A 23,613-nucleotide genomic window follows, 5' to 3' on the forward strand; every position below is an offset into this window, starting at 1 on the left:
ATAGTTTTCATTAAGAATAACGACAAAGGTTACCCATTGGGTACAATGTTTGCTATTTGGGTAATGGGTACGCTAGAAGCCCAATCCCCACCAGTACACAATATACCCATGTAACAAGCATGCACATGTATCCCCTGAATCTGAAGGAAAATTTAAATTGAAAAAAAGTTCTACTTAAAAAAAAGTAATTAAAAAGAAAGCTTCAGAGAAGGAAAGAGGAAATTAGATTTTATTCTAAATTTGTCTGACACAGGCAATTCCCCAGGGACACAACTGAAAATGTAAAGGCCCAGAAAAATCACAGGGGAAAAAAATAATTTCCCCCTGTTTCTCCCAAAGACTTCTTTGAAATACACGATTTCAAATACGTTTCTGGATCCTAAAACTTTTTAGAATGAATAAAGTGTCTAGGATAGGGTATTTTTATGTTCCCCAACCATTCCTAAAAATTACACCATAAGATTTTAAGTTAAAAAAGCTACATCAATCTTTTCGTCTGCATATAATGATGCAACTTGTTTGACATTCCTTTCCAAATGACCTACAGAAAAATCAATTGTTCCTGAGAATCCAAGTACATTTCCACTTATAAGTACAGAGGAATTAAAAATGGATTACTGTAATGAAAAATGGCCAGGCACAGTGGCTCACACCTGTAATCCCAGCACTTTGAGAGGCCAAGGCAGGAGGATTGCTTCTAGCCAGGAGTTCAAGACCAGCCTGGGCAATATAGCAAGACCCTGTCTCTAAATTAAAAAAATTTTTTTTAAGAAATTAGCCCAGCAGGTTGCACTTGCCTGTAGTTCTAGCTACTCTGTCCTAGCTGAAACAGGAGGATCCCTTGAGCCCAGGAGTTGGAGACTGCAGTGAACTATGATTGCACCACTGCACTCCAGCCTGGGTGATACAGTGTCTCTTAAAAAAAAAAAAGAAAGAAAAAGAAAAATGAGAAAAATGTTGTCCCCAGCAACTCCAGCTTCTGTGAAAGTACTGGATCTAGGATTTGGAGGCACATCTATGAAGAGGTAAAAGGGGAATGGCCACAGCATTTGATAGATCTACCCCCAGAAAGCTCCCAAACCCCAGTGCCCAGCTGCTCACTGCTGCAGATAGCTGGAATCTTGCGGGAGGAGGTGTGAGCTCGGAGAAAGCTAGGGGATCTCCCAAGCAAATCCCATCCCCCAACAGGGTGGCCACGCCAGCCTATGGTTCCAATCTGCCCCTTCCGTCTTCTACTACATGTGAAAAGAAATGGAGCCATATTTGGAAAAACATAGTCCAAATCAAGAAATAAATTAACATGTGAAAAGAGAGAGAAGCTTGTCCCAATTTAGGCAAATCTTCAGTTTTCAGGACTCTGGGAAGATGATAAAAATGAAGTGTTAGTAGAATCAAAAATGACTCAAGGTGATGGCTCAAAGAATGGGGCTGATTAGATAAAATTCTATGGAGTAAATTGTGTTCAATGAGATTTAAAGGTTTCCCTCTCCTTTCTTTTCACAATTCCTTTTCTGAAAATAAGTGCTTTTCTGTTTCTTGCCAACACCAAGTCCAGAAAGCATAATACTGTCCTTTGTCTTACTCTAAGTGTGTTGTAGATGGATTCTTCTGTTCAAGCCTTTGCCTACTTATTAAAAAGTGTCAGAAGAAAGTGGATGCGAGACTTCTGAAAGGACAGGTGCTTTGATAATGGGAAACTTGAAATTATTAGCAGAGCAAACTGCAACATACAATTTGATATACCCAAAAAGCTAGTTACATGTTTATTAAATCAATTATATACAACCATTTTTGACATTTTGAAACAAAGAGACATGAGATCTTCTGAAAAATCACCAAAACCAAAGTTGCATACAAATTTTCATTTTCCTTCTAATATTTGAAAAACAAATGATCTCTTTTCCCTGTGCATCCAAAGAATGTTTAAATCCAAGATAAGTCACTCCTGTTGCTCCTCATAAGGCAAGAGAGGCAGGAGGGGGCACTGGGAGATGAGGCAGGCCCAGAGCATATTTGTGTGTGTGTGTGTGTGTGTGTGTGTGTGTGGTGTGTAAGTGTGCTGGTCTTCCCTCTACTTCCCTGCAATGCAAATGGTGGGTAGAAAGGAACACACACACAGACACACACACACACACATACAAACATGCACTCATTTGCCAAGGGGGTGTCCACTCAGCCAAGAAAAAACTCTCAGCTGAAGTTAACCCTATAACCCTGCATTTGCTCTACCATCTTCAAAAGAGGTTTGAAATTCTTTCCCAAACTTTGCTGCACTTTCCATGAGAATGGGGATGTTCCTGCATAAAACATGAGTTTAGGAGGGCCCGGCCGTGAGCTAGCAGGCCTTGGGGAGCTTGTGTGGGGCCCGGGATTGTGGGGAAGAAGAACAGAGAGGTGGGGGAAGGGAAGGGAGGCTGTTTTCTCAGGCTGCATTTCTTGCAGGCTCCTTGGAGACCAGAGAAAGGCCAGGAAAGGTCTCAGCTGGGGCTGGGCCCTCACAGAACCGGCGGAAAAAGGGATGCTGCACTTAACCCCATGGAGCCAGATGGGCTGGGGTTTGAGGACCTCCAGTAAAGTGATGCCGGGAAGGCAGGGGAGAGAGAGAGAGAGAGATTGGAGAGGGTAAAGTCCTGGGAAGGGAAAAATGCAGGTGGAGGGGGGAATCTACTAAACATTGAAGATGCAGTCTTGTCCCCCCCATAAGTGGGTTCACAAAGGACAGGGACAAAAGTTCTACTTCTGTTGGTATCTCCACAGAATCCAGCCAGTGGCGGGCCTTTTACATGCTGTTTTTGAATGGCTGCAGGTGGGCAGGCAGGATTCTTATCCTGCTATCAGCACCCCACTGAGTAGGATTTAGGGGTCTGCAAGAGGTCCTCTCCCTCAAACTGGTTATTAGCACTGCTTGAATTAACTCAGCAATGGGCTAAATGCCAGCAGCAGGAGAGAGATGTTTGGGCATTCTGCTCCTTGGGGATAGAGCCCTCATGAAAATCACTGAGGCACCACTCTCCCCAGAGGCTCGGAAAGGGCAGGAGTGTTTATGCTGCTGGGGCAGCAGAGGTTCTCAGGTGGCCATGGTGTGTGCTATGGACGGACGCCCTGTATTGGTCACTGGATTGCACACATACCTCTGCAGCCTCCTCCTGACAGGGACTGGGAGAAGAGAGCCACTGAAATTAATGGGGATGTAAACTACCTTGAATCCCTTTCTGGAAAAATCAGGACATAAGTAGTGAGTTTTGTTGGGGTTGGGTTTTTGAAATTTATTTTTTTTTTCAATTTGGAGAATTTTATGATACCTGCAAAATAGCTGGCAGTGCTCCAGAATGTGGTTACTGGATCTTTGCAAGTCACTGGTTACTTACCGCAAGTTGGAAAATGCTGAGACCAGCCATAGAAGGAAGTGCAGTTGGAAGGGGGGCCTCAGAGATGTGCAACAGTAGTGGTCTTCAAACCTGAGCTGCATCAGAACCACCCAGAAGCCATGCAGAAACCCTGGCTGCTGGCCCCCAGCCACAGAGATCCTGATTCTCCCTCTGGGGTGAGACTCGAGAATCTGCATTTCAAAAAGTCCCCAAGTGATGCTGCTGCTGCTGGTGCAAGGAACACACAGGGAGAATGACTGTTCTAGAAAACCCCTCCTTTTGTAGGTGAGGAAACTGAGGCGATAGGGTTTTAATGGCAGAGCCAGGAACTCACAGCCAGGTTTCCTGAAAAGAAGGTGTGGCACCCAGCTCTAGCATGAAACCCCAGTGTGGAGGTGAGGCAGAAGGGAGAGGACAAAACCCATACCCAGCTAAAATCAAACACCGTCTGTATCCTCCATGTGCTAAAGTCAAGTCTACAGAACCCCAACCACCTGGATCCCACTGGAGGGGCGGAATGGGAAACTGAGAATGAAGCAACCAGTTGGACAGGCAGACAGCAGCAGGAGGAAGAGAGGGAGCACACAGATTACAGAAAGCAATTAACACAGAGTGGACAATTCAGGGACACTGGGGAGCCTCCTGCCAGCCCTGGGGAGCACAGATTAACAAGCCTCTCTAGGACTTGGCAGTTGGGAGCAAGCCTGCTGCTTCCAGCTGTGACTTGACCTCACATCTGTTATCTCCTAAGGCCTTGGGGTGGGGCCTGGAAAGCTCTGCTGGGAGAATGGCCAGAAAAACCAATTAATCTCGCCTCATCTGGGCTCTCATGCCCGTGAGGGCTACCACACCTCAATCAGCCTTGTCCTCCTCGAGACTGGGAGCTCCTCGAAGCCAGAGACACATCACCTAGCTCTAATCTGGTAAGCATTCGGTAAAAGTTGGATAAAGAAATGAATGCAGGCATGAATGCAGCCCTTCTGCTCTGGAGAAGCAGGCTCTGCCATCAGTGTACTTAAGAGGAATCCCATCGCGTAATCCCACCTGCTGGGGAGGGCCAGTGGGGCTTCTGTTGCTAATTGGCACAGTATGGACAGAAGTCCCTCTTCTCCAAAATGTCCCCTCTACATCTTTCTCACTGCTCCGCTAGAGGAAAACAATCTTTTTGCATCTAACCAGCATATGTTCGGAGAGAGTCCACACCCCTGCTCTGGGAGACTGGTCTTGGAATCCCTAAACTTATGAGAAGCTCCTATTGTCCACAGATGGCCCCTTGTCCCATCAGTTTCAGATGGGAGGCTCAGAGCCCCTGCAGATTCCCAGCAGCCGCACAGAGGCTGCTGGTGGGTCAAGGAGGGCTGTGAGCTGGGGTCTGCTGCCTGATGTTGCCAGGCTTAGTTGTGGGGAGAAAGGTCCCAAGTGCAGAGCTGCACTGAGGCTGCAGAGGCAGTGTCCTGGCTCTGAACCTTCCCCTCATAGTCGACCCTAGACTGGCCCACCAGGGCTCTGGTAAGGCTTCCTGATTCCGTGCCTGGTCTCATGGACATGTGCTGTGCCTTCTATGGCAGCCCACAAGGGCCTCTGGGGCTCTGAAGGACCTCTCTGTCTCTATTCCACTTTGGGTAATCCTCATGTCACTTCTGGAAGTTTCACAGACCAGCACAGAACAGAATAGACACAGGGTAGATGCGACCCAGCTCTGTCGTGGGGCCATGAAACTGCAAACCTCAGAGCATTACACCCTAGAGGTTGGAAAGGTGCAAATCACAGAATTGCTTATTTACCCCAAAGCTGCCTGTCTGGCGAGATTTCTCTCCCTTACTCCAATGTCCGTTGAGCTTTTCAGAGAAAATTGGTTCCCTGGGGGAGTAAAGGTCAGAAAAAGAGGAGAAGGGTGAAGACTCCCAAACAGTTGCTGGGGGCAAACTGATTCTGCGTAGTTAGGCAGAGACCATGAAGACTCAGGGCCCTAAAAATAATATGCTGTGGCTTGTCTGGGGTGACTAAAGATCCCAGGCAGCACTGTCCAGCCACCTCCCTGTCCCTGTTCTTTAGATGCTGTTTAGAGATTGTAAACTTACCTACCAGAATCGAGCATCATTAGAGATAAAATCTGCTGAAATGGATCACACAAGGCATTTCAAAGCCCAGCAGGCTGATTAAGAGATGATTTGTTGGTTTGTGGCACCTGGAGCACCTCTCAGCGCCCTTCCACAAATTGGATTTTGGCCAATAACTTCTCTGCAACATGAGGCTTCCTATCATTCCCTCCTCTGCTGAGGGGGAGGTGGGGATCCTGCCCTCCACCTTTGAGGACAAGTTTCTGCAGAGTCAATGGGAGACATGGAAAGAAGGGCGATACCTTTTTTCCTACACAGAAGGAAATACTTCCTAAGCAGAAGGATTTTGCCCTTGGCCAAATGCTTGGCCATGTTGAGACCCAGACTCATGGGGCCAAAGGCCACATGAGAGCCCAAGGAGAGGGTGTAGCAGCAGCAGCAGCAGCAGCAGGTTTCACCTGAACCAGTAGTTCTCAACCAGGTGTAACTTTGCCTGCATGGGAGGAGACAAGGGCACTCATGAGCTGTCTTCTCTACCTGCCCCCCCAAACTCACTGTCAGGTAAGAGAAGGACCCGAGGGCTTCACAATGTATGACATACATGTGCACACACACACACACACAACCACACTGCCTCCTGTTCACATCATAGGTTCTGGAAGGTCTCCTTCATGGAGCCCTCCTGGACCGATGAAGAACAGGACCCCTGTGACCCCACAGGGGTTCTGATAACAAGAAACTCATGAGGCTCTTCTCCCTTGCTTACTCTTCCTCAGAAGTATTTTGCCTTTAAGATGAGACTTAATCCAAGCAAGACACAGAATCCTCTAGATTGATTTATTTCATTATTGGTGCAGAACATGATGTCTGTCTCACTCAACAGCTCCCGAAGGCAGGGCTCACCTCCCCATCATTCACATTCAGTACAGGACCCAGAAAGCTGCCAGCAAGTGTATGTGTACATATATGCACACGCGTGTGTATGCTCACACATGCTCCGGATGCTAAACCCATCCTGGCCTTGATGCCACTTTTAGCTTTTGGGCAAGTGTCAAGAAGGAATGGTGGTACCCAACAGTGGGATTTTCCTTCCCAGACTTCACACTGCACAGATGGAGGACCCAAACCAGCAGCCGAGCCTCACCACAGCAGTTCCACTAGAAAGAGCTAGAGATTGGTGGAGGCTGGGAGAAGTGATTCTCCAGTCAGGATTGGGTGAGAACGTGAGCAAGATCACACACAGAGCACAAGCCTTTGCACTCTTAGTCCAGACATGGTTACACTTCACTTGGCTAGGATGAGACCGAGTCTCAGGGGACCAAAGGCCACATGAGGGCCCAAGGAGAAGATGTAGCAGCAGCAGTGTTAACCTGAACCAGTAGTTCTCAGCCAGGAGTAATTTTGCCCTTGGGGGAACTTTGGTAATGTCTGGAGGCATTTTGGGCTGTCACAAATGAAGGTGCTACTGGCATCACACAGGTGGAAGCCAGGGAAGCTGCCAAACATCCTACAAGGCATAGGACAGTCCCCTTCCGCCACATCAAGAATTATCCATCTCCAATTTCCAATGTGCTGCTGTTGAGAAACCTTGACCTAAACACTGCTGCACCCTCCACGCCATGATTACTGAGTTGTAAGAAGGAAAATCTCAGATGAGTCAGAATCATGGTCCTTCAGCCCTGCCTTAGATTTCAGGCAAGCTCCAAAGGATAGGGGTATATTGGGTGGGGGTGGGGGTGCACCAGAGTTGTGCCACACACAACCCTCTGGAAAGTTGGAAATGTTCCCAGTGGGACCTCAGAGGTTATCTTGTCGAAACATACTCATGGTATGAGACTTAGGGAGATATAAGCAAAGACCATACTATCACAAAGGAGAGAAAACATGATCGCAGGCATGTTAGGAATTCTAGGAAGATGGGCATCCCTGTGACGGCAAAACAGATGGCTGAGAACCCGTTACGGATACAGGAAGCATGTGGCGACCTCCTAGATCTCCTTATTCCCGGAGGCAGCCCAAGCTGAAAACAAAACTGTAACCACCAAGGGGAATGGTTTTGATGGGTAGGCAGGGGTCCAGGCTATAACAGAGGGTCCCTGGGTCCAAGGGCTGTGGTTCTCCACCCTCATTGTGTTTCATTTTGTGCACGTTCTAAGTGGGGACCCACCACTGTTTGCAAAGAAAAAAAGAGTTCCCGTGCCCTTTCCTGGCAGTGCTGATAGCAAAGTGACTCTGTGAAGCCCAGCAGCCCACGGGTCAGGGGCTCCAGGGCAAAAGCAGAAGGATCACAGAGACTTTTCAATGGCTCCAGGACGATGATGACAGCGTGGGAGGAGGGATAAGCCACATGGCCAGGGAAAGGAAAGGGCAGATCTCACTCTGCATTCTGTGCCCTTCACCTAGCAGGGGTTATGCAGCAAGAGTACAAGTGAAAGCCTGGAGCACCTGTGGGTGTGGGGCATTTCGGAGACACCATCCCTCCACATGCTTTTAGACACATCTCTACCCAACCAGGAGAGGGAAGCAGTAGGAGAAACTTCTCCTTCCAGGGTCTCCTGACTCCTGAGAAAAATACCTGCAGCCCCAGCTCCCTGATGCCCCACCTCCTCACCCCCTATTGGCCCTGCTCCCTAGATCTCCCACCCCATCCAGTTGGCATGAGGTGAGGCAAACTAATGTCTAGTCTCTCTGAAAATACAGCTTCAGAGCTGGTCCACTGTGACTCGCTTAGGTACATCCCAGCAAACGCAGAAAGGGACATGTGTCCAAGTACTCACCCGTAGCAGCTCAGCTGCGGGCACCATGCAGGGAAATCAGACAGCAGGCAGGAGAAGCAGTCTCGGGGAAGCCAGCACCATCAGCCTGCTGTCTGCCAAAGCCCAGGCAGCAGCTGGGCTCTCCCACTCCTTGCCCCCAGCGACAGAAGTCAGGACTTCAGCCCACGCCTGGGAGCAGACCTGGGGCCACAGGCACACCGGTTCCAGATCCCTGAAAGGGGGTCCGGGCTTCCTGGGGCTGATGAGGAGTTCTCAGTCCAGGGGAGCCAGGACTGCTGCTACTGCTCCCAGGGAGAAAACAACATTTCCCTGTAGAGTCCACCCAGGCCACTGTGGTCAGGTGAGGTCAGCAAGAAAACCTGACCAGCAGCTCCAGACGGCTTGGTCTGGCCGCAGAAAAGCAGGACACAACGCGGCAGCCTGCCCCCGAGCATCTCCAATTGTCCCTCACACTGCTGAGCCTCACTCCCAGCACCAGACAAAAGCACTGGAAGCAGCTCGCAGCACGGCTGTGACACACCAATCACCAGTGCCAGACTGTCCTCCCAGCTGGCCAAGCCCTGGCCACCCCACAAGGGCTGGCTCCCTCTCCCGTGTTTCCTCAAAGCTGCCTGAGGATGGTTTAGGATGATTTATCCTCGTGGGGTGGATTATTTGTCCCAGGAATACTCCAACTTTGGCTGGACCAGAGAGCAGTGGTGTAATGCCCTGGCTTAGAGAGTGAGACAGCGAGGAAGAGAAAGAGTGTGTGTAAGAGTGTGTGAGAGACTGTATGTGTGCATGTGAGCAAGAGAGGAGGGTGAGAAGCAGTGTGTGCATCTTCCCAGAGTATCTATCGGTCCCTCTCTAATTTCATGCAATCCCTCTCTCCTCCTGGGTTTGGAGACAGGGGGATGGGCGGTGAGAGACACAGAATCCAGAACAGGCAGGAGACACCATCCCTTCCTCCCCGCCCCCTTGCCACCCGCTCTGGGAGGGTGATAATGCCACCCCTCCCGCTCCTGCCTCCCCCACAGCTGCTGCTGTCAGCAGTCAGCTCCCCCTGCTGAATACTCTTGGGGAACAACTTTGGAAGAAGCATTTCACGAAATAGTCAGCGGCATCGCCCCTCCTTTTCCCAGCCCAGGTCCTTTCATGCTCCCATTTTGGTCATTGGCCCCCCCACCTCAAGCCCACCTGTCCCCACACCCATTCTCCATAAGCCTCAGAAGCCTCTCCCCACCTGGCCCCATCTCAGAGCCATATCCTCTTCACCAGGCTTCCTGCGGGTCCTGGGCTGGGAGGACAGCAAGCCCTTCTGGAGTGTGCCATCAGCCCGGCACCACTACAGCCCGACTTCCTCAACCTTCCCTCCTCTGTGCTGCCCACCAAGACACCCCACAGATAACAAGAGCGAGTGGTAACTCCAGGCTGCCTGCACAATTCATTTGGAGGGAAACCAGGACTGCAGAGAGTATAGTGGGGAGTAGAGGATATTCCACAGCCTCTCGTCTCTCCCTCTCCTGTAAGATTAGCCACCTGTAGGTCTGAACACCTCTCTGTTTCATATCTTGGCTACCACAGAGGAGGCCAGGACCCCATCTATGGCTTTCATATTTACCTCCTTCTTTGCAAACAATTATAGTGGTTCTCAACGAGTACAAAAGTGATTACTCTTTCTTGGCCTGTGAAAGTGGGGAGGCCCCTGCTTCTCCTTCCTACGTTTCCCTGCCATGATGGGTGTGTGCTGATGGGTCTGTAGGGAGAAATGGAGAACAAGGTAAACAGTGAGGGATTTGGTACTGGGAGGAGCTCTTTGGAGACAGATCACCACAGGCTGTGCCACCCTAGTCCTAAGGGTTATTGGCTTGACCATGAGAGGTGACCGCCTAGGCAGCTTACTATTGTGGTTGACTGCCTTGGCTCAGGGGTTAGGCAGGACCAGGAGTGTAAATGTATCAATTGTGTGACCTTGAGCAAGCTGCTAAATCTCTGAGACTCGGTTTCCCTGTGTGACAAGTGGGAATATTAATATCTACTTCATAGGGCTGTTGTGAGAAATCAAATTGGATGAAATGGGTACTGTGCCACCCACGATGCCTGGCCCTCAGAGATGCTGGATCCTTTATTTCTTCTTCTACTGAATCCTGGGAAACGGAGGTAGTGGCTCTTGCAGTGGGAAGGAGGCCTCCAGGTGAGCTGCTTAAAGGGGAAGGGCCTAGCTGGAAGGAGCTGAGAGGGGTGTTTAGCAGGAGGGAAGCCGGGGTGTAAACCCAGAGAGAAGAGGCAGAGGGGCAACATGTCAGGTTGGAAAAGTGAGTCCAGCCAAAGAGGCAGAACGTAACCCAGGGCAAGCCAAGCTGGAAACCAGGACCATGGCCAGGGCTGGAGGGACCCTGTGAGAAGCAGGACATCGGGTGGTGGGGGTGGAGAGAGCTGCTTGCCTGGGAAAAATGTTAGTCTGGGGTTTTCTGGAACAGAACCCAGGGACCATGGCAGAGGGTGGCTGGGTCAGCAACAACCATCAGAATCCCAAATGAACAAATGGAGGCCTGAGTAGAACAGGACAAGTTTCTCCAGAGACCAAAAGGTAAGAAAAGGGAATGGCCTACACTCTACCAGAAAACCCTCGATAACCACCAACAGCCCCTGGGATGACAGGGTGGCCACACCCTGCCACACTAGAGACAGGCTCTGGGCAGAAGAAGCTGTAATCATGGGTCAGCCACAGAGGTCTTGATTCATACCTGAAAGCGGCTGGCCTGGGCCACACATGGTTTACATCCTGAAGCACCCCCCAGCATAGGTAAAGCTGAGAGGACACAGCACCCAAGCTTGAGAGGGAGGCCCTGGGGTTGAAAAGAAGGGATGGCCATAAATGCTCAGGCCAGCACCTCATGAGACAGCCCAGTATCATGGGGAGATCATGGCTGGGGGGCCAGGAGGTTTGGGTTCTCGTCCCTATTCTGCCAACAATTGGCTGGGCTGCTGGTCTTCTCTGGCCCACTGTATCTTCCTCTTTGAAATGAGACCAGATTTGTGGTCTTCAAACTGTTTACTTTTCAGCAGCAGAACCCATTCTCACCACTCTGAGCCTCCATTTCTCATTATTCAAGTGACATCTTACCTAAAATATCTGTATATATCCAGATCAGACAGAAGCAGAGCTACGTTGATGGGTCAAGGGCTGGAGCCTGGCTGTCAGCCTCATTCAGCAGCTCTTAAGATGGCTTGGAGGTGCTCCGAACACCTCAGAACACAGCCTGAGATCACAGCACTAGTCTGAGGGCCTTTCCCCTCTCTGACTCCAGGGCTTTTCATCCCCATGGAACACTGAGTAGACACCAACTTGGATGGGCGCCAGCTGGAGGGCGAAGCCTAAGAGGGTCCCAAGGGAGGGGGCAGCTCTTCTCCAACACACACACTCAGCATCTACTGGGGTTGCAGGTCCCACAACAGAGGCTGCCGAAGGTGGGAACTGGCCTTGGCGGCTACGGGTGGCAGAAGGGAGGCCGTCTGGGCCCCGGGATCTGGGTGACAAATGTACTACATAAAAAGGCCAGATGGACGTCCCTGCCTTTGGCACCACGGCTGCTCTAGGAAACACTGGGCTGCCTTTCATACCCTGGATTGTCGCAGGCTCCCTCTCTCCCCAGCTCAGCCAAATCATAAATCTAGCCTGCCAGGGGAGCTGGCTGCCCTGACCCCGGCCCCGTGCTTCCCCGCCTTGGCCTCACACATGCCAAGATCCAGGCACGAGCAGTGGAAGGAGGGACTGTGGGGCTGGGCCCACATGGACTGAGAGCACTGTCTTGGTTTGGGGCTTTCCAGAATGTTCTTCAGCCATATTTTTCTCTTTTTGTCTTTCTAGCCTTCCTGTGCAGGATTCTGTCAAGGGCTTTCTTTTATAACCGTGCACCCCTCACACCAGCCTCCTCAGCCCTTCAAGAGTTTAAGTCTGACAGAAATTGGGACGTTCCGTGAGACCCCAAAGCCCAAGACTGCCCTGTCCTTGCCCTGGGCCTCTGGGAAGGCAGCCCGAGTAGCGTTCGACCTGCCCAGCCCCCATGAGGAATGTTCTTGCACAGGCAAAGATCCTTCAGCTAGAGATGCAGGGAGCCCCTGGTTTCTGTCTCCTGGAAGGGGTGCAAACAGCCTCGCCAAGGGAGGATTAGTTCCCTCTCTGGTCCACCCTTGGGTTCTTTACTTGCCATTCCCACACGCTGTCCTGTGTCCACACCCCAGGGAAGGGAAGCCCCGAAAAGGCTCTCTCCTGTTGCCCTGGCTCCACCTTCCCTACCTCCTTTCTTGCTTTTTTCTTGTGAATTCAACATATCATTTTGTGTGGCACTATGGTTTGTAAACTGCCCTTTACCCCTTCACAACAGTGCAGTGGGCACTGCCATCTCCTCTTTAGGTGTGGAAGCCGAGGCTCAGCGTGCCTGACCGGACCCAGGTCACAGACTTTTCCGTGGCAAGGCAGAGACTCGAACACCTGTGTTCTGCTCTCTTTCTCATGTCTTTCTTCACCTCCCCTCTCCTCAGCCTCCTTCAGTTTCCTCTCCTCTCCTCTAGCTCCTCCTCTTCTCGCCTATCCTTCTTGCATCTCCTCTCAATCCCTCCTCTGCCCCTCTCCAGAAGATTTTCTCTACTCCAGACCCGCCTGAGGTCAGAGCTGATGGGGACCTTACCCCATCCCCTGGTTCACAGGCCAGGAGACTGAGGCCACGCTACCTGGCTGGTCCCCAGGCCTCTCCCCCCCCCGTCTCCACCAGGGCATGTTGGTGGCCGTGGGAGGCCAAGAGGGGTAATGGATTTCTTAAGTCATCCTGATTTTATTACTTGAAGCATTTCTAGGGCAGGACCCAGACAAATGCTTGCTCCCTCCCTTCCTTCCCTCCTCCCTCCCTCTGCAGCAAAGATGCTGCATCTCTGCATAATGCCTGTGCCCTGTTTCACTCAGAAGGGAAAAGTCAAGGTCTGTGTTTCTGCAGCCAAAGTCACCAGCAGCCAGAGTCTTTGAGGGAAGCTCATCGGCCTGAGGCCTCTACCCTCAGGCCAGGAGACCCTGCCCCTGCCCCACACCACCCAGAGTGGGCCTCTCTCCTCGCTGGGTCTTGTTATAGTTTGTCTCCTTGGGACAGAGATACCCCAGCCTCTAGGTATCACCCCTTCTCTTCCTCACGCCCCCACTTTAGGGCATTCCCAGCTTGATGCAACCTCAGGCAGCAAACACTGCCCGACGACCGCCATGGTGAGCTCGGTGACAGTGATGTACCTGGCTGAGGCAGCTCTCAGCAGCAAGGCCACAGCCTGTCAAGATGCTGAGGAGCCTCACAGGAGCCTCCCTTGGGGCCTTCTTACCACAGACCAGGCATCCCCACCTCTTATACCAACCTGATCTTTCCTTCTCCCAGGGCCCATCCACAAAGCCAAGGCCCAGGGAGCCTTGGCAAACCCTCTGGGAGAGCTCTGAACAGCAAGACCCACTTCACTCTGGGGTCGCTCACTCACAGCAGCCCGCAGAGGTTGGCCCTCAGACTGGAGGAGCTAGTCAGGTAGAGCGGAAAGGACGGGGCTTTGGGATCAAGAACCTTGCCGAATCCTGATCTGTCACTTATCAGCTCCTTGACCTTGGGCCAGTCACTGCTCTGAGCCTCCACTTCTCATCTGTTAAATGGGGAAGATAAAAGTTCCAGGCTTATCTATTTCACCAGATGTGAGAGGATTCCACAAGGCAAAGCAGGTGAACGTGTTCTGGAAATGGACGGAAGGCTGGGTCAGTGTTACCCAGGTCTGCAGAGCTGCCAGAATTCCACTCCACCCCACAAAGCTCCAGGCCTACCCTGCTAGTCCACCCATTTGGCTGCAGGACAGTCAGCTAGCTACCCAGCTTCTCATGAGGTGTGACTTCATCCCTGACTCCTGGCCTCCTTTAGGCCCCAAGTAGGAGCCTGGGGCTCTTTGTTCCCTCTTCCCAGGGGCTCCACTCAGTGAAAAGATACTCCAAGTCTCATTGGCTCAACTCATTACAAGAAGTAGAGAGATTTACTTCTGAGGCCTTCATTATCACCTAATTGTGTTCCCACTAAACTCTCATTAATTAGCCACTCTAAAGCTGTCAGCACAATTAAATAGACTTATTGACTTATAGACTTTGAGGGTGGGAAGACAACTTCAGCAAGTCCAACCTGTCCAACCCTTTCATGTTAGAAATGAGGAAAATGAGGGCGAGAGATGGCAGGTGACTCAACCAAGGTCACACAACAGCTAGTGATGGAGTCGGAGCTAGAAACCCAGGCGGTCAAGTTCCAGCCCGGAGGCCCTCCTTCCCACTACACCACATTCCTAAGGGAAAGCAATGCCACCTCTCACCTTCTATCATCTTTCATTTCCCAAAGCAGTAATTTAGAATTGAGGCATGTCCCCAGCTGGAAGAAAATATAAATGTAGAATTTTAAGTAGATTTTTCTTTTTTTTTAGATGGAGTCTCACTCTTGTCGCCCAGGCAAGAGTGCAGTGGTGCGATCTCAGCTCACTGCAACATCTGCCTCCCGGGTTCAAGCGATTCTCGTTACTCAGCCTCCCAAGTAGCTGGGATTACAGGCGCCTGTGACCATGCCCGGCTGATTTGTATTTTTAGTAGAGATGGGGTTTCCCCATGCTGGCCAGGCTGGTCTCAAACTCCCTACCGCAGGTGATCCACCCACCTCGGCCTCCCAAAGTGCTGGGATTACAGGAGTGAGCCACCATGCCCGGCCTTAAGTAGATTTTTTTTTTTTTAAACCCACCAAAGATAACGACATCTGTACCTGAGGCAAATGGTGACCAGCTGTAACCACAAATGAGCCTCTACCTCCTGGGGCTGAGGGCAGCAAGGACCCTCCCTTTCTCCTTCCCCTCCCCAGGGAGGAGCAGTCATGCAGACAGGACCAATGGAGCGGGAGGCTGGCTCCATGAAGACTGCCAGCATCTGGTTCCACGCTGATACTTGGTCCCAACTGGACATCCTGCAGCACAATCTCTGGAGTGGGGCCTAAGAATCTACACAGGCTAAAACAGGTTCTAAAGAAGAAAACAACAAACATCCACAACAGCTATGGGGACAGAGAGAAAAAGAGAGAAAAAGAGAGCCATGAAAATAGACTCCTAATAAAAGGAACAGGTTGGGCATAGTGGCTCACGCCTGTAATCCCAGCACTTTGGGAGGCTGAGGCGGGCAGATCACGAGATCAAGAGATTGAGACCATCCTGGCTAACGTGGTGAAACCCCATCTCTACTAAAAATACAAAAATTAGCTGGGCATGGTGGCACACGCCTGTAGTCCCAGCTACTCAGGAGGTTGAGGCAGGAGACTCGCTTGGACCCAGGAGGCGGAGGTTGCAGTGAGCCAAGATTGAGTCACTGCACTCTATCCTGGGCAACAGAGTAAGACTCTGTCTCAAAAACAACAAAAGAAAACAGAACAAAGGAGCAGCCCTCCCGAAGGATAGAATAGGGCAAGGGCAGGAGAGAGGAGCTGGACTGGGAAGGAATGGGCCATGGGGAGCAGGTCCCAGAGGTGGTGCAGGTGCAAACCCTGGGCAAAGGTTCTCAGTCATGGTGGCCACAGCCCAGTCATCATGAGGCAAGTGCCAGGACAACAGTTTCAACCTGAGGCCAAAGGGGTGGCCTTGGAGGTCAGGCAGGAAGAGGCTATAAAGGGCATCATAACAGCAAATGCCTCTCTGGCATTTGGCATGCACCTGGCACTGTCCAGAGTGCCTTAGGTATATTCACAAATCTAATCCTATCTAAACTCTGTGAAGTGGGGTCACTGTCATCACCCCAGGGTGCAGGTGAGGAGACAGAGGCTAGGGAACTAAAGTAACAGGCCAATAGGTGGCACAGCAGGAACTCAAACCCAGGGACTCAAACCTACTGTGACTCCAGCTAAAGCCGGAACTCCAGCCTGGGGTGCACAGTGCTTCTTAACAGGGGAGCCATGGCATTTTTTGAGGGATGCACCTTCCTGGTGAGCTGCAAGGATTTAGCATCCCTGGCCACCAAATGACAATAGGGTACCCCAGTCACCTGGATACCCAAAACAGCCCCATACTTTCAGACACCTGCGTACGTGGTCGTAGTTGATCTGCTCCAGGTGGAGAACCACCTGAGGCGAGAAATAAGGATGAAGTGGGAGCCCACACTGAATCCCAGAGGCTTGGCCTCGTTTTGCAAGGGACTGCACTAGATGGGGAGCCGGCTGATCCCCAGGAGGCAGCCCTGGGAGGAGCAGGGCAGATTTCATATCCAAGAGCCCCCCAGAGCTCAAAGTACTGGGCCCCAGCAAGATGTGGCAAGGGATAGGGGGTGATGCTGGAGAAGATGGAAAGGCTGTGGGAAGAGACCATAAACTCAGACAGCCAATGCTTGAAGGGAAATCTCAGGGGAGTCTGAATGTGGGAATGACCACAGCATCCCCACCCTCTCTCATACAGTGGGTGGCAGCCACTGGCCACAGCTCAGCCTCCCTGGGGTGAGTTTTTCTGTGGAGGCCTGAGGAGCAGCAGGCGTATCATAGAGAAAAAGAGAAACAAGTCCAAGAACCATAGATTTTGGAGAAGGAACCACCCCCACCCTGACCTCCACTGTTTTTTTAAACCTTTGCTGGTGGCAGCAGAAAATTCACAAAGAGCTGCAGCCGTCAGGGAAGTGGAGGAATCTTTAAACCTTTTTCCCTTCATACTCAATACATCTGCCCCACTCTATCCAACTCTTCGCTTCCTACCTATCTCCCTTTCATAATTCCCAGTGACCAAAAATCCAGAATGTATTTATAATGTACTGAAGAATGCATTTATAATGTACTGAATGTACATTTATAATGTACTGAAGAATGCACTTAGACAACATGAGCTAAGTTCATACCCATTCATGCCCTTGAAAGCCCAGGCCTGGCGACACCTGCATTCAGCCTCACAGCGAGTAGCCAGGCAAGGTACTTAGTGGCAGGAGAAGCGAGCACAGGGAATCCATATAGCAAAAAGAAGAGGTGATGACATTCCTCAGGCACTTATTGGGTAACCAACTCCTTTGATAACTCTAAATTCTACACGATAAGGTGCATGCTGGGAGCTGCTCATTCCTCCAAAAGCAATGTAAAACACAATCCTTGCCCTCCAGGAGACAAGATACACATGTAATGCCATATTTGAAACAATGTCAAAATAAGTGTTCTCCACAACCATTTCCATAGGTGTTTTGAAGTGAAAGAGAAATCAGCTAGACAACCAAGGCACAAGAATCAGAATAGGCTGTGCATCCTAGCATGTCAAGAGGCCCCAGTGAGCACAAGGATGGAGAAACCCAAGTGCCGGAAAACACAAATGAGTGAAACCCATTGGATCATGGGGAGAGAGCAAGGGAAGAGGAGTCTGGAGGGCATCATTCTTGGAGCCCTATGCTGGAGTCAGGTGGACAGGCATCACGGATGGGGGATGGAGGTGGAGCTCAACTTTCACTATTCCATTAACCCAGTGCATTGCATTCCAAAGGAGCCTGCCAGTCTTAATAGACACAGGAGAACCCATGCATTCCCTCAGAAGCAGACCTACTCAGTGTCCTGCTCCCAAATGCTTTTGTGTGGATAATCACCGTTCTAAGTAAGAAACACCTCAAGTTTCCCAGTTCATTTTCTTGCTGCAAAGCTTGCAAGAGCAGCAGACGGATGCAAACTCCTGCTTCTCTTCTACTGGCGAAAACAACCCAATTTGAAGAATAAGCACCAATTAACTAAGTGAGAAGCTCAAGCTGTGAATCCTGAAGTGTTGTAACCTGACAGCAAATTGCAGTTCTTTGGAGGGAGCCGTGGGAGGCAGGGGCAGTCCCCAGCCAAAGTAGCCTCTTGAAGCCCCGACCTGCAGACATTGATCATTATAAGTCATTCACGTCTCAGCAAACAGTGGGACACTTGTTTAGGAGAAATACTAAAAGAGGGATTCCTTTTTGAGCACAGGGTTATTTATTCTCAAAGAAAATGCTTTGGATGCCATTTCCAAATTAAATTTGTTAAGAACTAGTCAGAAAATTAAACTTCAAGTAAACACACAGTCCTTTGGTTTTCTTATCTGTAAAATGGTGATGACCCCGGACATACTTATTTCCGGAGATAAGGATGAGGTGGCACTTTGTAACCTGGGAAGCACTACAAAAAAAATTACTAGCATCCATAGTGTGTCATATGTCTATCATCCCAGTGACCGTGATAGGTAAAGATCAACAAGCAGGTATAGTTACCACCAAGAAGGGGAAAGCACGCTGCAGACACCTGCAGATGGCTGAGTTCAAGTCAATTTAAGTTTTTTGAATGTCCAGTAAGTGCACGGCACTGCAACAAGTACTGAGGACACAAAAGTGAATGAGAAGCAGTCACTACCCACCTGGAAATCTCATAAAGAAATAAGCCTACTTCCAAATCAAAACATAAAACCACCTTTGGAGAAACCGAAACACAGTAAAAAAGTGCCCCCACTAAAACCTCAGGCTTCCCCTTGCACCCACACACTATTAGTTCATCCACTCAGTATTTACCATTGACATGCTTTTAGTTCAAGTAACCCAAAACCCAATTCAATTCAAAGAGGCTTAAACCAAAGAAAATAGAATAATTCACATGAGAGGAACTTTAGAGATAAAAAAAAAAATCATGTAGTTCAGGTTCTTTCCATCTCTGCCAGCCGCTAAAATTCCACATCCTGCCATTCTCCATCCTCAGGGGGCCTCTTCCCAAAGAAAGTTCTTGAAGGTGGCCAGGTGCGGTGGCTCATGCCTGTAATCCCAGCACTTTGGGAGGTCAAGGCAGGCGAATCACGAGGTCAGGAGTTCGAAACAAGCCTGGCTAACATGGTGAAACCCCATCTCTACTAAAAATACAAAAAATTAGCCAGGCACAGTGGCAGGCGCCTGTAATGCCAGCCACTCAGGAGGCTGAGGCAGGAGAATCGCATGAACCTTGGAGGCGGAGATTGCAGTGAGCTGAGATTGCGCCACTGCACTCCAGCCTGGGCGACAGAGCGAGACTCTTATCTCAATAAATAAATAAATAAATAAATAATAATAATAAAAAGAAAGTTCTTGAAGTTTTAATTCAGCTGCCAAGAACAATCAGGGCAGCCTTCCTTGTTTAACATCTACCTAGAGAATGACTTCTGGTGGCTCTTTATTGACAAAGAGGAAGAACTTTCTTAGAAATCAAAAACCTCTCCTCAAATCCCATTAGTCAAAATTGTGTCATGTATCCATTTATGGCCCAACCCCTGCTAAAGCTAAACAGCATACGTACCCTTAAACCTGTCAAGGCCATCCCCTTAGGCAAGCCCAAGTTTCACTGCTGTTACTCCGGGAGGAGGTGTGGAATAGAGGATGGGAAGTTTACCACAAGGTGCCCTACTCAGTTATAAGAACTTTAGTTATCCATTTTCCAAGCCCATATAAGAAATGCAAATTAAAAGTGAAGAAAAATTTGCTTTAGGCAGATACATTGTGTCTAGCAAGAAGGGACATCCGTCAGCAAGAGGCACAGCTGGAAAAAGGAAAGAGCAGGCACAAAACTCAAAACCTCAGGGGGCCATTTGGCGTAAGCAAATTGTCCCATACACCCCACTGAATCAGAGCCCAGTCCATTAATTAAGGTTTCTAACATACCCTTGGGACACCAAGAAAAGGTTACATTTATGCTTGCATTACTCCGTGTAAGAAGGCAGGGATGCATATAACACATTTTATAGAGAACCACAAACACAATGGCTAACAATGTAAAACTGTTGTTGCTTAAAGAGGCCAATCTAAAGTGTGTTAGAACACTTTACACTTTAGAATGACCCACCCCAGCTTCTCTGGAGAGCTGGGAGTTAAGGTGCAGACTGCAAATATAACATACCCAGGCAACAATATGTTACGGCTGGCCTCCCACCAGGCTCCTCCACACTGATGGAAATTGATTGCACCTCATTTCCGGTGAACAAATAGTTGGTATTTGGATTAGGATGTTGCTCTTTTAGAGCAAACATTCAGGCTCCCAGCCCCACCTGGACCTATCAAATCTGAATCTCATGGGTGGGCCCATACTCAGTCTTTTCTTAAAGTTCCCCTACTAAATCTGATGATCAGTCTGACCAAACCTCACACTGCCTCCCTGAAAGTCCAGAATACTCTGTAGGAAAAACTTCCCGAATGGGAGAACCAGGGCCTGGTGGAACTCTGAGAGGTTATCTCTTTTGCACCCTCTCTTGCCTTCAGGAAGGCCAGCATGAAAGGTCAGAGGAATGGCAGAAGCCCTGAGCACTCACTCCTTCTAGGGATGAGCACAATTTCACTCAAGCACCATAGCCAATCCACCACTCAGACCCCACTGCTCCCCTACACACCCTCTTCCTGCCCACAGCCTTCCTCCACCTGTCCCCACCCCTGACAGCATCAGGGTCCTCCCCAGCCAGAAAGGACATTATCTGTCACCTATTAAAGGACATCATGCCAGTTTTTACTTCACAAGCTCCTTTTGTAATTGACTCCCCACCCCATCCTGTCTCACTGAAGAAATGTTCTTCATTTGATGCTTATTATTATTATTATTTAGAGAAAGGGTCTTGCTCTGTTGCCCAGACTGGAGTGCAGTGGTGCGATCATAGCTCACCACAGCCTCAAACTCCTGGGCTCAAGTGATCCTCTCACCTCAGCCTTCCAAAGTGCTGTGACTGTAGGTGTGCATTCCCATACCTGGCTAATTTTTTGTATGTTTTTAGAGAGATAGGGTCTTGCTATGTTGCCCAGGCTTCATTGCATATTTAACTCCAATTCCTCTCATTGTAACTGGCTGAGGTTGAGGGTAGGGAGGTGGAATAGAGAATAAATAGGGACTCAGGACTCCTTGGCCACCAGAATGTGACTTCCAGGGATGAAAGAGTGGTTGGCCTGAGGGGGTCATTTGAGCTCTTCACTTTTTTCCAGGCAATGGAGAGAGCAATCCTGATCCCTGAAACACTCCAGTTTCAGGGGGACCCTCCTCCCAGGGGCCTGCCTACCATGCAGACTGTTTTTGTCTCCATCCCACCAATTCCTGTAACCTTTGATTGCCAGCCCCTGCATGGCCAGAGATTATGGGCTTGGCCATTACCCAGAAGGCTCTTCTCATTCTGGCTTGGCCAAACACCACCTGTGTGACTTTGGAGCTGTTCTGCAACCTCTCTGAGCCTCAACTTCCTCCTGAGATGGATAATGCTTGCCTTGGCTTGTCTCCCCAGTTCTCACGAGACTCAAAACACAACAAATGTGACTGTGCTCTGTCAACCTAAAAGCACTGTCCACTCATGAAGGGTCACTGTCCACTGGACTAGGAGTGTCTGCAGCTGGGAAAAGCATTTCATCCATCTTTGCGTCTCCAATGTCTGGTGTTGGTAAATGACCCCTGAGAGGTGGCTGCTGGGTGGTACATGAACCAAATGAGGGGACGACAGAGCAGGATGGGAGTAACTGACAAGTCAGGAGCGTGAAAATGAAGAAAGAGAGAGAAAAGAAGAAATGTCCTTCCTTTCCTGTCACCCTCAGTCTCCAGGAACTAACAAATGCTCCCCAAATAGTGGCCCACACCACTGATTAGTTACTTTTTAAAGTCACCTCAGCTCCAATTAGAAAAGGATGTTAGTAAAGCTTTCCCATACCAATTTAAATAAACACTGAACACATTCAACCTTTAAACTGAATGGAAATCCCTATTTTAAACAACAACCTTCTAAGGGGCTTGCTGGTGCTGCCCTGAGTGCTGAAATTAGGAATTGGGAGATTTGGAAGCTTGGGGTGGGGCAAACCCTTTCCCTTACTCTGGGCTACTTTGGTTTCCTGGAGGAACAGGCACTCAGGAGGCTGAGAGAGCCAGGATGGCAATTGGGCTTTTTTAAGCCAAGGGAAGCCTTGGTCTTCTGTGTTGAGCAACGGCCAGGCCTGGGAACCCACAGAATCATCCAATCATCCTTACCACCCTCCCCCCATCTATGTTCAGTTCTGCTCCATACACATCCCCTACCACCACCACCCCCATTCTCAGAACAGAAACACAGCTGCTTAGATGAAAAGGGCAGCTGCTTTGCACCACAAACAAGCCCTCCCACTACAATCCCAGCTGCATTTCCAGATATTCCAGCCTCTCTTTGCATCCCCGGTCTAAACTATAATGGAATAATTGGAATAAAATATAAAGCAGAACTTCCCACCCAGAAAAGCATGAGGAATGAGAGGGTGGTAATGTTTAGACATAAAAGAACACTCCCACAATGTTACCCTTGCCCTCTGAGCATGGGGCAAATTTGCAAGCCAGCGTACCCTTGGGGACATCCCCTGACCTCCCAACACCTACTCATGCACACGGGTCTTGCTCTTGCCCCCTTCCTTCTGCCCCACTCAGTGTTAGGGCTGTATCAGGGTTTTGCTCTCAGGAGCTGAGGGTGGACAAGGGCTCACTAGATAGCCCCTGGGACTACCTCTAACATACACAGACCCTGACCCTCCCCTCATTCTCTAGGGTAGATCACAGGGAAGCCAAAGCCAGGATAACCTTCTTTGGCCACCTCCACCCTCACTTGAGAGCTAAGTGAGATCTGCTAAGCACTTCTCAATTGAAACATTGATTCTTCCCCTTATCCATACTGCTATGGTCTGAACAACCCCTTCAAATCTCATGTTGAAATTTAATCCCCAATGTAGCAGTGTTAGAGGTGGAGCCTTTGAGAGGTGATTGGATCATGAGAGCTCTGTCCTTATGAATGGACTAGTTCATTCATGGGTTAATGGGTTATCATGGGAGGGGAACTGGTGGCTCCTTCCAGAAGAGGAAAAGACTTAAGTGAGCACATTTGCATGCTTAGCTCCTTTGCCATGTGGTACCCTGCACCACCTTGGGATTCTGTAGAGTTCCCAACAGCAAAAAGGCCCTCACTAGATGCAGTCCCTTGACCTTGGACATCTTAGCCTCCATAACAGTGAGAAATAGATTCCATTTCTTTATAAGTTACCCAGTTTCATGTATTCTGTTACAAGCAACAGAAAATGAACTAAGACAGATACCAAGTACAGTATAAATCCAATTCCAGTATACTCCAATATAGTATAATTCCAATTCCAGAAATGCCAGGAGGCAGACCAAACTAAGGAAAGACACAGAAAATGTATAAGCCACTGTCAAAGTATAATTTTCAAAATGCTTTCATATGTGTATATTTATTTAACTCATTAATGAGGAATAGCAAATCTGGCTCAAAAGAACTTGAAGAACGGGGTTTGCATGATCGGCAAAGGCACGCAGAAATAAGTCTGTTATGTCGAGACAGAACTGTCCTACAGGACAATAACACCATAACTTTTGGAGTTATCTTTTCTACTGGAGAGAAATAATTTGC

The 23,613-nt window shown here is 49.5% G+C and overlaps 1 protein-coding gene across 16 annotated transcripts in view; it reads right to left on the reverse strand.

Moving 5' to 3' along the window:
* Nucleotides 1–23,613, reverse strand: part of SEMA5B (semaphorin 5B) — a 119,524-nt gene that overhangs the window by 75,498 nt on the left and 20,413 nt on the right. The window contains exon 1 of one of the 16 annotated variants that reach the window (NM_001256346.2): nucleotides 8,206–8,659. The exons of the other annotated variants lie outside the window; for them this stretch is intronic. The gene's annotated coding sequence lies outside the window, so the exon portion shown is untranslated. Of the gene's footprint in view, nucleotides 1–8,205; nucleotides 8,660–23,613 lie in introns of those variants that run through there. 16 annotated transcript variants of the gene reach the window in all.

Source organism: Homo sapiens, chromosome 3 (assembly GCF_000001405.40).
Source record: "Homo sapiens chromosome 3, GRCh38.p14 Primary Assembly".
NCBI lineage: Eukaryota > Metazoa > Chordata > Mammalia > Primates > Hominidae > Homo > Homo sapiens.